The sequence below is a fragment of the Homo sapiens genome, chromosome 19 (assembly GCF_000001405.40).
Source record: "Homo sapiens chromosome 19, GRCh38.p14 Primary Assembly".
NCBI lineage: Eukaryota > Metazoa > Chordata > Mammalia > Primates > Hominidae > Homo > Homo sapiens.
The window spans coordinates 47061939-47074931 of NC_000019.10; the positions used below are offsets into that span (position 1 = coordinate 47061939).

The window sequence follows — 12993 nt, forward strand, 5'->3', positions numbered from 1 at the left end:
CGAGTAGCTGGGACTACAGGTGCCTGCCACCACACCTGGCTAAATTTGTTTTTTCTGTATTTTTAGTAAAGATGGGGTTTCACTGTGTTAGCCAGGATGGTCTGGTCTCGATCTCCTCACCTCATGATCCGCCCACCTCGGCCTCCAAAAGTGCTGGGATTACAGGCGTGAGCCACCGCGCCCGACTGAGTCTTTCTAAGAGACAGAAGACACAGACACAGAGGAGAAAGCTCTGGGAAAAGATGGAGGCAGAGATTGAAGCGATGTCACCACAAGCCCAGGATTGTCCATGGCCACCAGAAGCCAGGAGTGGAAAGCAAGGATTCTCCCTAGAGCCTCAGAGGCAGCCTGGCCCTGTGGACACCTTGATGGTGCACTTCTGGCCTCTAGAACAAATTTCTGTCATGTTAAGCCGCCCAGTCTGTGGAGATACGTAGGCAGCCCTGGGGCTCTAATACCAATGGAATGCCAAAATGGAATTTAGAAAATGCAACCAGCCGGCCAGGCACAGTGGCTCACACCTGTAATCCCAGCACTTTGGGAGGCTGAGGCAGGTGGATCACCTGAGGTTGGGAGTTTGAGACCAGCCTGGCCAACATGGCGAAACTCCATCTCTGCTAAAAATACAATTAGCTGGGTGTGGTGGCAGACACCTGTAGTGCCAGTGACTCAGGAGGCTGAGGCAGGAGCATCACTTGAACTGGGGAGGCAGAGGTTGCAGTGAGCCAAGATAGCACCACTGCACTCCAGCCTGGCGGACAGATTGAGACCCTGCCACAAAAAAAGAAAAGAAAAACAAAAAACAAGAAAATACAGGAAACAGTTAACACCTGTAGAATCTGGGCAGTGGATCAGGGCAGGTACTCAAAGAGCACCTGGCACCAGTTGTTGGTCCCAGTGTCCAGGTAACCCTGGGCTGTGGAAAGCTCGACCACATCCTGGTGCTGGTGGCCATCTCTGCCCTCCCTCAGCCTCCATACCTTCCTCCAATGGAGATGTTCCTCAGGCTCCACGCACTTCCTGAGCGACATGGTCCACTCTTGCAGCTCTATTTTTTTTTTTTTTTTCAAGACGGCATCTTGCTCTGTCACCCAGGCTGGAGTGCAGTGGCACTGTCTCTGCCTCCTGGGTTCCAGTGATTCTCCTGCCTCAGCCTCCAGAGTAGCTGGGATTACAGGCGCCCACAACCACACCTGGCTAATTTTTGTATTTAGTAGAGACGGGGCTTCACCATGTTGACCAGGTTGGTCTCAAATTCCTGACCTCATGATCCGCCCACCTCAGCCTCCCAAAGTGCTGGGATTACAGGCACCCGCCAGCACACCCGGCTAATTTTTGTATTTTAGTAGAGATGGGGGTTTCACCATGTTGGCCAGGATGGTCTCGAACTCCTGACCTCATGATTTGCCCACCTCAGCGTTCCAGAGTGCTGGGATTACAGGCATGAGCCACCGCGCCCGGCCAACTGCATGCGTTTTTAAAGCTGTTGCAGTTCTTCTGCCCATCCTGCTGCTGAGGGACTCCCTCCCCTTTATGTAAACTCCAAGAAAACCCTCTATCTTGTTTGCTGGGTTTGGGTCTCAGCCTTTTTTATTTTTTTTAAGAGACAGGGGTCTCACTCTGTTGCCTGGCCTGCTGGAGTGCAGGAAAGTGATGTAGCTCACTGCAGCCTGAACTACTGGGTTCAAGCGATCCTCCTGCCTCAGCCTCCCGAAGTGCTGGGATGAGAGGCGTGAGCCACTGCGCCCAAACTGTATTGATCATGCATTCAGCCATCTATCCACCCATCCTTCATATTTGTTGATGCATTTCAAAGTAAGTTCCAACATCACAACAGACCCCTCCTCAGAGGATACCCCTGGCTATCACATGGGTAGGGTGCCTGCTAAAGCTCGTCCCGTCCCTGGAAGCCAGCCCAGCTGTCCTGTCTGTGTTAATGGTCTTTCTATGAGCACTGCAGGGGCAGATCCAGGACTGTGCAGGTCACCCCTGGATCCCAAATGCTGAGCGTGGCCCGCACAGAAGCTCAGGGACCTTGGGATGTTGCTAGTAGGTGATCTACTGCCATCCACTGAGGACAGCTGACACTGTTTGGAGGCACAAATTGTCCCTCAGTGTCCTCATGTTACCCTGAGGCCGACCGCTGAGAGAATAGGTCCTTGTTTCACCCCCCAGCCACCTTCCACCCTCGTTAATTCCCAGGGCAAGGGATGGTCTGGGGCAGCCTGGAGAGACCAGACCCACAAGCTTTTTAAAATAACTGCATCCTTTAATGGCAGTAATACAATTACTGGATTAAGAGACCACAGGAGAAAGGCAGGTGACGTTTCTGGAAGACAGATATGGAGTATAAAAAGGGTGTGAAATAGTCATGCGGCGATCATTGTAAAAATACAGTTCATTATATACATATTTGCACCACCAACTCTCAACTCTGAAACAGTATTTACACTTTTGTTACAATCCTGGTTAGAGAACAATTTTTCTTTAAAAGCTCGGCCTGATGGCAAATGAGAATTTCGGGTGAATTCATAGTCCTATGAGGTTCTTAGGCTGAATATTCCAAGAGGAGGGCTCCAGCTTCTATTTCATCCACAGATTTCGGTTTAAAAAATATTTTTCTTTTACAAAAGAAAATTCTCAAAAGGAGAGGAAAAACAACAACAAAAACCACAACACTGCCACACTGTGTATTCATACTTATTTTACAAACACCAAGGGCTGTGCCCTCTGCTTCAAGGCCAACACTGGTGGCTGAAGACAAATCTCATTAATGATTGTGTAAAAAAAAAAAAAAAAAAAAAGACAAAAAGACAAACCAACCAACCAGATCCCAGCACTGACCCCTCAGGGCTGTGCAGCCCTGTAGGACACCCTGCCTCCTGGCTCCAAACTATGAGTTTTTCATTTTTCTCTTTTTGGGGTGGGGTGGGATAGGAGCCTTGTTCACCCCACCCTGAGGAGGAGGGAAGGGGAATCCCTTGGCAGGTAACTAGGTCTCTTCATGGTCAGCAATGAAGAGCTTGGCCTGCAGCCACATGGTGGGCCAGGGAGACGGGCAGATGCAGCCACAAGCACACACTTCCTGAGGCCCCTCAAGTGGCCCAGAGGCAGGATAGCAGGCCTCCCCCAGCACCCCTTGCGCCCATCTCTCGGGCTGTGTCCATAGGTGGGCCTCCTCCAGGGCTCTGCAGATGAGGCTGGCCCTCAGCCAGGGTGGGAGCATGGGGGGAGCAGAGGCTCCCCATCCCCTGGCTGCAGGGTTCCCACTCAGTCCGTTTCTTAAGTGTCCACAAATCCCACAGAGCAACACACCTTGGAACACCTGCATCTGCTGGCTTGGGAAAGGAAACCCGAACACATCAATACCTCATGCCCTGCAGGTCACACAGTGTAAGGAGGTGCGAGGAAAACAGAGAACACTTGGCCAGGAGCCACCCCAGGGTCCCCATTGTTGGGGCCTGGCGGCGCAGCCACTGCACGGATCCTGGAGCTGTCCGGGGCTGGGCTGCAGTGCAGGCATAGCGGGTGCGTGGCTTGAGGACCAGGACAGACCCTGGTGTGGGCAAGCAGGGTGTGGCCCACCTGATAGGACAGGTGGGGTAATACTGACAGAACGTGCGTGCTCCTAGGGGCTGCCTCCTAGAGGTGGCTCTTCAGGACTCTGCCCCACACCGGCCCCCACTACCTTTGGGTCCAGTTCTCACTGTGGAGGCTTCTGCTGCAGGCTGGGGGGCATCCGCTTGCTCTAGACGGAGGGTGGCAGGGAGGGCACGTGTGGTAATCCAGGGACAGGAGCAGGCATGCGCCAGGGAGCCCCCATAGTGCCGCTGGGGGCTTTTTCCTTAATACCTTTTCACTCTCACTGTCTCCTGAGTGGGTTGTTACAGCCTGCACTGAAAAGACAGTGATGGTGCACCCTAGGGTTCTAGAAACGCCTGGACCTGCTTCCACGCAGGCCCTGCCATGGTCTTGGTTCCGGGTCTCTTCGGGCACAGGGTGAGGAGCGTTCAATACCTTCCCAGACACCAACTGTTCCCTTTGTCCTGGGGAAAAGGGGCCATGCTTTGCCCAGAAAACCCACTGGGCCTCCAGCAAGGCCCGGCCACGCAGAGCCCACAGAGTCTGAGGCCAGGCACTGGCGAAAGTTCACAGGTTTGCGGGCATGAGTCGGTTTGCTCAGCAGGAGCCCCTGAGCCCGCCACACTGACCAGAACTTAAGATGGTTATATACAATTTACAAATCTCAAAGAAAGTACTACTTTAAAAAAAAATAAAAGAGACGGAAAGCAAAAGAAAAAGAAAAGAAAAAAGGAACACCCAGCCTGCCTCCCCTTGCCCCCAAGTTCCCTACCCTGGGTGCTGCCCTGAATGCCACCCTAGGAAGGGTGGCTGGAGCCGCAGCTCTGGCTGGACACTACTGGCAAAAGGGGGAGGCCGTGGGGTCGAAGCCTTTAAAAACATCCTTCAGGGATGCCGCATCCTGCTCACCCTCGCGGGCCGGACTGTTCCCAGCAAATGGGCTTCCTGAGCCCGTCTTGGGTGTCTGCTTCACCGTCCCGAAGAGGGTGGGCACGGGCAGGTTGTGCACCCCGGGCTGGGGTGGGGCACCCTCGGGGGGTGGGGTGGCGGTGGTGGCAGCGGGGGCTGCAGCAGCCTTGGGCCGGGGCCGGTTGTAGCTGTTGTATCTGTCCGTGGGGGTGCCCCCATCAGCACCGGCCTTCCCTGTCTCTGGCTGTTCCAGGGCAGACTTGCGGACGAACGGGGGCTCCTTAGCCTTGGAGGCCGAGCTCTTGCCATTGCCCTCAGCACCCTTGGGCTGGGCACCCGTGTCAGCAGCCGGCTCTGTGGCTTTGCCCCCCGCGTTGGGAGTCCTCGGGTCGTAGAGGCTGATACCGCTCAGCACACTGCTCTGCCCGCCCCCTCCGCCCTGGCCCAGTCCACCGGCCGCCAGCACGCGGGGGTCGTAGGGAGCGGTGGCTGGTGGGGAGGCATCCCCACTCGGGCTGGCGGTGGGAGAGGGCGCCTCAGCAGGGCCGGGCTTGGCAGCCCGGGAGGAGGCCGTAGAGTCTGTGGGTTTCTGCAGCCGAGGGTCGGTGGGGGCCTTCCGCACCCGGGGGTCACTGGGTTTGTCGCTGGAACCGGGGGCGGCCGAGGAGCCGGTGGCATTGACTGTCTTGAGGATGCGAGACAGAAGTTCAAAGTCGGGGAGGTTGGCGCCCTGTGTGCTGGAATCCGTGGAGGCGCCCGGGCGCTGCCGGGCGTTGGGGGGCCCTGCCGTGGCAGCGCGGTGCAGCCGGGGGTCCAGGGTGGGCATGGATTGCAGGGCCGCGGGCACGGGGGGCACTGCGTCCTGCTTGGGGATGGGTAGGGGGATCAGGTCCTCGGGATTCCAGAGCACGGTGCGGGCGAAGCTGGGCTTGCTCAGGGTCACGTCCTTCTTGATGTGGCTGAACTGCTGCAGCTGTGACCGTGGGTCCCGCAGAGGGTGCCCGGGGAGTGGGTCCAGGGGAATGTTCACGGCCTTCTCCCGCAGGGCCCGCTCCCCTTCCTCCTCCTCCGTTGGGGGCGGCCCAGACCCCTTGGAACTGCTGGGGCCCACAGGGCTGGAATGAAGGCTGCCTTCGGGCTTGGAGGTGGGCAGGGCGCGAGCCAGCCGAGGATCGGAGGGTCCCGAATCACCTGGGCCAGACCCGCCAGAAGCCTCCACATGGCGGGTGAGTCTGGGGTCCCGGCTGAGGCGAGGGTCAGCCAGCCGGCTTCCTGTGGGGTGTCCCTTCTGGAGGCGGGGGTCCCCCAGCCCACTGCTGCTCAGCTCCCCAACTGAAGCCGGGGGTCGGCTGGACGTCTGCTGCCTCAAGGTCTTCAGGATGGAGGTGACACTGCTTCCACCCTCATCCTCATCACTTGAGTACCAGTTTCCGGTGTCACCTGGGAAAGAACAGAGGAGCAGGGAGGGGTGAGTGGGCGCATCCACCACCCGCCCTCTTGGATCCCACAGCAGCCCACCGTGAGCAGCTCCTTTGCTTGTGCCTCTCAGAACCTCAGGTCCTCCTCTCTAAGGCTCCCTCCCCACAGTGGGCGGCTGAGGAGACCCAGAGAGCTAAGGCGCTCGGTTTATGCCATGCTCCCCAGCTCTCCTCAGTGGCGGCACTGCACTAAGTAGTTTGTTTTATTTAAATAACTCACAACCACCCCAGGAGGTAGTGATACTATCATGCCCATTTGACAGATGTGAAAACAGAAGCACAGTGCCGTTACATTGGAGTCAGGGCCAGGATCGGGCTAGGACTCCTAACCCAGAGCTCTGCTGTTTCCTCCCGCCCACCTCCGGGCTGGTTCAGCCCCCACTGTGGCAAGTCCAGCTGTGGGCACCTCTTTCTGGAGGTCCTGGTAGCAGACACCATTGACTCAGTTCTGGCTGGGCCTGGGGCTCAGAGACACTTGACCCCAAACCGGCTCGTGATGTCCCCATGTCCCAGGGAGGGGCTGGTGTGGACCAACCGCAGTCACCAGCTGATAAGAGGCAGGGCCGGCTGGGCAGACTCAGACATGGGCTCAAGCAAAACCTAGGCCAGTACAGCCTGGGCCATCAGGGGAGCGGCCCCTCCTCCTGCTGTCCCACTGGCTCCTGCGCTACAGTCAGGGCCACCTGTGGCCTCTGGCTTCAGGATCTAGACACCACTTGTCATTTTACCCCAAAGTGGACACCACTAAGTCAACCATGCAGCAACTGAGACTCGGTGGCTCGTGACTATGATTATTACTGGTTAATTTCAATGACTAGCTCTTGTTTGTTGGCTCCTTGAGAACACGGTAGGAAAACAGGGGCTGTGAGGGTCTCCCTAAAGCCTCCTCTGGCAGGGCACAGGCGGTCAATCCTGTTGGCCACTGTCTCCTCCAGGAACTAGCCCTCCATCCTACTCCATGGGATCAGGGTCTCTCCTGAACCCAACACAGAAAGCCACCCCTGACTGCCAGTTTTCTCAGGGACATGCAGCAGCCCCAGCCCGGCTTCATGGCCCTGGACAGGGGTCCTCCCTAGCCATGGGCTCCTTCCTGACAGGAAACCCAACCTGGAACACCCCACCACCGCCGCTCCCCTGCACAGCGGCCTGGGGCCTGTGCCCCGGCCCCTGGGGCGGACACGTGCCTTCCTCATTCTCCCGGTCCTGCTTGCTGCTCTCAGCCAGCCTCCTCGCTCTCTCCTCCTCCTCCTGCTGCTTCTGCTGGATCCTCAGGTACAGGGCCCTCTGGGCTGAGGGCAGGAAGTCAGGGACACCGGCGCCTGGCTTCGGCCGGCCTGGGGGCCCTCCCTCAGAGAAGCTGTCGGGCTCCAGAGGGTGCTCAGGGAAGAGGTGCTCCCCAGGCTCCCCTGGCAGCTCTTCGTAGTGCCCGTAGTCCTCTGTGGCAGGGAAGAACCGAGGGTTCATGTCGGGAAGGGCCTCCAGGTGCCAACTCCAGCCCCCCTGCCCCTCACTGCAAACCCACACCGATGGCGATGGAGAAGGACGCACAGCCTGCCCCTGCCTGCCCTCCCCAGGTCTCAGGGGAACAGAGCGGCCCATGGGTAGCCCCGCCTACATGAAGAATGAGGTTCACAGAGAGGGTTGAGTGATGCGGGCAAACGCTTATGAGGTGGAAACAGGATGGAACATTGGATGTACGTTTGTAAGACGCAAGGAGAAAGCTTTGAAAAGACACACAGAAACAGTCCCTCTGGAACACAGATTCTGGAGAGGCCAGGGATTTCTGTACTCTTTCCTGTACTTTTAAATTATTTTGGATGGATAGGAGTTGCACGGTTTCTTTCTAACAATCAGTAAGGAAACACCATGCATCTCATAGTGAACTCGACCATGTTCAACACTAAAAGCCAGGAAAAGAGAATGAAACGGGTCAAGTGCTGCTCTGGCCACAGGTCAACAGCAGTTCCAGAGTGCCTCCCTGCCCACTCCACAGCATTAGGGGGTGTCTCAGGAAGCACGGGGCCTCCACCTCCTGCAGCGTGGGCACTGGCACCAGCCACCTCACCCCACACACTCCCCCAGTGCCTGAGCCAAGAGCTGTGGGCAGCAGCACAGGCTGACGTGGGGACGCAGCAGGCGTAGAGGGGAGGGCAGGCTCGGCGACGCCTCCTGCATGTTGCGTGTGTGACACATGTGAGCATGGGAGACATCGAATCACCGAAACGGAGGGGGGGGCGTCTGGAGTCAGTGCTGCCCCACAGAACGCTCTGCAGTGATGGAAATGTTCTAGATCTGCAGGGCAACATGTGGCCGCCTAGATCCTCCTGGGGCAGCTGAGCATTTAAAACGTGGTGTCTAGAAAAGTGCACTTGTAACTTAGCTTACATTAATTTCAACTTCGTCAAGTGAACCTGATGGGCCAGCCTGCTCTATGACACATCCCAGCGCAGAGCTGGGACCCACTCCATGAACCAGACAGCCGAGGGTCCCCCTTCACACACAGTCTGTGCACACACCAGAAACCAATGACCATACATGTTAGAGGGAGGATTTTATGAAATGGGATTATTCTAGAGACACCTACTGCTACCAACGTGACGGACTTCTGGTGCCCCGCCAGCAGAGCTTTTCCCGTGCACCTTTTAGACGCATTTGTTGAAGGGGGAGGAGCTGAGAACCCCAGCACCTACTGTGGCAGCCTGTTTTTCTCGTCTTTCTTTCTAAAGCACCCACTCTCACCCAAGTACCTGCTCTCCCAGGTCCATGCACCACCTAAAGCCAAAGCCCACGTTCACATTTTGATCTCTAGCCTGGGCCTCTCCCAATGCCCCTTAAACCACCCCCTCAAAATTTCCACATGGCCGTCGGAGGGGCAGGCACCCTAGAGTGACTATGCCGCACGTCCAGCGCCCCATCCTCAATGCCGCTCCTGCCCACCTTGCAAAACAAACACGGGGCTCCCACTGCCCCACGGCACCGTGTCCAAACCTCGAAGCCCTGCCTTGCACTCCAGTGGCCGCCCTGCTGCCTCTGCCCAGGGACAGCCCCCAGCAGCTGCCACAGCAGCTCCCCCAGTTCAACACAGCGCCCCCACCCGCTGCCCTCGGAGGTCCCATCATTCCTCACGTTGTGAGTGCCGCTTCACTTCTCAAAGAGACTTTTGTGACTATCCCCACTGAGGCACTGAGCCTTCTGGCCCACCGCCACGGTTCCCCACCTTTTCTTCTAAGAATGGCCAATGCTGAAAGGAGCCAACTCCTCTATCTACACGCTTGCCACCTGCTTGTTTCCACCAAGATGCAACTGAGCGAGGACAGTGGTGGCCTCTCGTGCCTGGCCCTCCTCCAGAGGGCTGCACACCACATCTCCTATGGCTGCAGCAGCGTCATCTAAACCCCTCTGCTCACTGGACATTTGTTACCAATGCAAAAGGAAAAAAAGGCAGGAAAACGGCCGGTAATGGGCACAGAACCCGCAGAGTCCTGGGGTGGACACTGGTTGCTCCAAGCCGAGAACTGCCCGGAAAGAGATGGTTTTGGCCAGGCCACTAACTGAGTCCTGATGGGCCCACCAGCCTCTCAGCCTCACACCCTTGCACACTCGTCCCTCTAACTTCCCATGCTTCCGATTCCAGGCACAGCTTGCAAAATTAAAAAGAAATAACCTATATTGGTAATACACAGAATACTCCTTTCTTCTTCAACAGAATACATCCTATGTCACTGAAAACATTCAACCATTAAATGGGACAGAGATGGAGTCATGCTTTCAAAGAGACTTGGACGAAGGAAGAAAAATCACATCTCCCCAACTCTGCTCCACTGGGTAAAGCCTGCAGCCCCAGGCAGCCACACCTGGAGTCCCGCATACCTGCATCCCCCAGGAGTCCGGGCTCCATCTCCATGCCCTCCTGCTGCTGGTAGAAGTTTTCATAGAAGTTCTGGGCTGGCGGGATAGGGGGCATCATTCCAGAATGTGGGGAGTCTCCAGGGCCGTAGGGCATCATTGGAGGGCCGCCAGGGCCCATGGGTGGGCCAGGATTCATGCCAGGGCCCATCGGCATGTCTGCGTGCATGTCTGCGTGCATGTCAGGGTGCATGTCCGGGTGCATGTCGGGGTGCATGTCAGGATGCATTGGACCGCCCATTGGCCCTGGGGGTCCCATGTTGGGCCCAGGGCCCATTGGCCCTGGGGGTCCACCGGGTCCAGGGAACCTAGAAGAGGGAAAAGGTGCCTGTGACGGAAGCTGCCGAGGAGGGCAGTGGCCACACCCCAGAGGAGAGGCGGAGGGCTGCAGAGCCGAAGGTCATGGGCCCCAGACCAGGACTCCCACAGCTGGGGAGAGAGGCAGGACTCTCCCACAGCCAGGCTTGCCCTAACAAGAGGAGCCTGGCTGGGCCCAGGACAGCGCCCACTGCCTGTCACGGGGGTCCAGGGCACTCACCTCACACCCAGCTTCTCAGCCAGCTGTCCCGTGGGCCGCACCACGATCTCAAACAAGGAGGGGATCTTCTTGTTGTACATGTCCTGCTGCTGCAGCTGCTGCGGGGACAGTGGCTCATGCACCGGCATGGGCATCTGAGGGGGCCCGGGCGGTGGGGGAGGGGGAGGGGGCGGGGGCGGGGGGCCACCCTGCATGGGCCTGCCGTTGGGAGAGGTTGGAGCCTGCGGGCCAGGGGGCCGAGGAGGGGTGGGCAGGAGGCCCACACCAGGGGGCGGTTTGGGCAGGGGGTTGATGCCCTGCTTCTTCAGTTCCTCCACCTCCTTCTCATCCTCGGCACCTGCTTCTGCATCATCGGCCAACATCTGCGGGTGTGAAAGAACAAAAGAAGGTGTGGACGGGGTCAGGATGGAAACGGACCTCTCCAGGTCTGAGAGCTGAAGTTTATGAGGAAAAGTCCATAATACAAGGACCTTGAGATCTAAAGGCATAAAGACCACAATGGCTCTGTAACAAAAATCATCATCAGCCACCTCTCTGCTCCACTCTCGGGGACCAGCTGGTAGAGGGGGGGCCATTCCTGCTCTATGGCAAAATACACATAACAAAGCATACTGTTTAACCATTTAAAGTGAACGATTCAGCTGGGCGCAGGGACTCACATCTGTAATCCCAGCACTTTGGGAGGCCGAGGTGGGTGGATCACTTGAGGCCAGGAGTTCAAGACCAGTCTGGCCAACATGGCAAAACCCCATCTCTACTAAAAATACAAAAATTAGCCAGGCATGGTAGTGCACGCCTGTAGTCTCAGCTACTCGGGAGGCTGAAGCAGGAGAATCACTTGAACATGGGAGGCAGAAGCTGCAGTGAGCCAAGATCGCACCACTGCACCCCAGCATGGACAACAGAGGAGACTCTGTCTCAAAAATAAATAAATAATGCCAGACGTGGTGGCTCATGCTTGTAATCCCAGCACTTTGGCAGGCTGAGGTGGGCAGATCACCTGAGGTCAGGAGTTTGAGGCCAGCCTGGCCAACATGGTGAAACCCCATCTCTACTAAAAATACAAAAAAAATAGCCGGGCATGGTGGTGGGCACCTGTAATCCCAGCTACTCAGGAGGCTGAGGCAGAAGAATCGCTTGAACCTGGGAGGCGGAGGTTCCAGTGAGCCGAGATCACACTACTGCACTCCAGCCTGAGCGACAGAGCCAGACTCCATCTCAAAAAACAAAAACAAAACAAAGTGAACGATGCAGTGGCATTTGGCACATTAACAATGTTATGTAACCGCCACCTCTATATAGTTCCAGCACATTTTCATCACCCCCAAAAGAGACCCTGTACACACTAAGCAATCGCTCCCCACCCTCTACCCCCAGCCCCCGGCAGCCACTCTGCTTTCCGTCTCTGCGGACCTGCCCCTGCTGGACAGCTCCTGCGAACAGACTCATGCGCTGTGTGCGATGGGCGCTTTCACTTAGCAAAGTGCATCTATCTACAACACTGCTACATCTATCAGTATGTCACTCTGTTTTTTATGGCTGAATCATATTCCCCTGTCATGTTTGGATTTTAAGGGCCTCTGATCTCAACTCCTGACCATGACCCTTAGGGCCTAAGAGCAGGGGTGGGTGTCTGGGTGTCTAGGTATCTGGGGACGACTGGGTAGCTTCCTGGCAGCTTCATTTCCTCCCACGATCCCGACTCCTCCACCCCAACCACCCAGCCTCGTTTCAGTGCAATGAGCAGCCAAGCTCTCCCCTACAGGGCCAGGACCAGCTTCCCCCAGGTTTTTATTTTTCCTGTTATTCCCATGTGGCTCAACGTCACTCAACTGTTGAGGTCCCTCATTAGATGTCAATTCATAGTGTCTGTCCAGTCTCCTGTATTCACTACTGGGTCACCAGGAGTTCTCTGCCAACACTGCCTATGCCTTGTCGGATTATTCAGTCATTCCCATGTTCATCCTGGCTCAACCTCCCCATCAACTCCAAGAGGGCAGGACTGTTTCTTCCCTGCTATATCCCCAGGGCCCCCACGAGACCTGATACAGGGCAGACGCCCAGTGAGTGAATGAGAAATGTCAAAATCTCAACTGGACTAGAATGTCTCATCAGTTAGGATAGCGTGCAGAAAAGTGACACAGGAGGCCTGGCTGCTCTCCTTGGAAGGCCTGCTTGCAAGGCTAGGCCTCGGCTGGTGTCTGGGAAGCTGCATTTTGGGAGGGCTCCCAGCATTCACTGTCCAGTAAGAGGGGCTCACTGCATCTAAACTGTTTCTGCAACCAATGCAGTTTGTGCTGAATGCCTGCTTTGCCCCCCAAATCTGGAATTTTGGTCCATGCTGGGCAGAGGCTGCCTAGGTGAGCAGCCTAGTGAAAACCCTGGGCGCTGAGCAAGTCTCCTCGCAGACAGCATGCCACTCGTGCTGTCACAACTGGAGGAGGGCAGCGTGGCCCCTGCGAGTCCACAGGAAGAGGATGCGCCTGCTTCCTCCAGGCGCCCTCATGTACTCATTCCCAGGGCTGAGTTTGCCTGTGTCCCTTCACCGCAGTTAACATCTTGGCCGTGAGTCCCCCAGCA

The 12993-nt window shown here is 56.8% G+C and overlaps 1 protein-coding gene across 14 annotated transcripts in view, besides 1 other annotated feature; it reads right to left on the reverse strand.

Annotated features, from left to right (window-relative positions):
- Positions 940-1140: a silencer, noted in NCBI's record as "peak3531 fragment used in MPRA reporter construct". NCBI's record gives its function as "represses an SCP1 promoter by STARR-seq MPRAs in K562 erythroleukemia cells {active_cell/tissue: K562}" and the evidence as "EXISTENCE:reporter gene assay evidence [ECO:0000049][PMID:32103011]".
- Positions 2249-12993, reverse strand: part of ZC3H4 (zinc finger CCCH-type containing 4) — a 49590-nt gene continuing 38845 nt past the window's right edge. For 10 of the 14 annotated variants that reach the window (NM_015168.2, XM_047438517.1, XM_006723113.4 and 7 more), the window contains 4 exons: positions 10414-10775; positions 9840-10183; positions 7154-7405; positions 2249-5931 (listed from right to left, as the gene is read on the reverse strand). In NM_015168.2, the coding sequence (NP_055983.1) occupies positions 4418-5931; positions 7154-7405; positions 9840-10183; positions 10414-10775 (2472 nt within the window). In that variant the 3' untranslated portion in view covers positions 2249-4417. The remainder of the gene's footprint in view (positions 5932-7153; positions 7406-9839; positions 10184-10413; positions 10776-12993) is intronic. The other 4 variants (XM_017026530.3, XM_047438516.1, XM_047438515.1 and 1 more) reach the window with 1 other exon arrangement.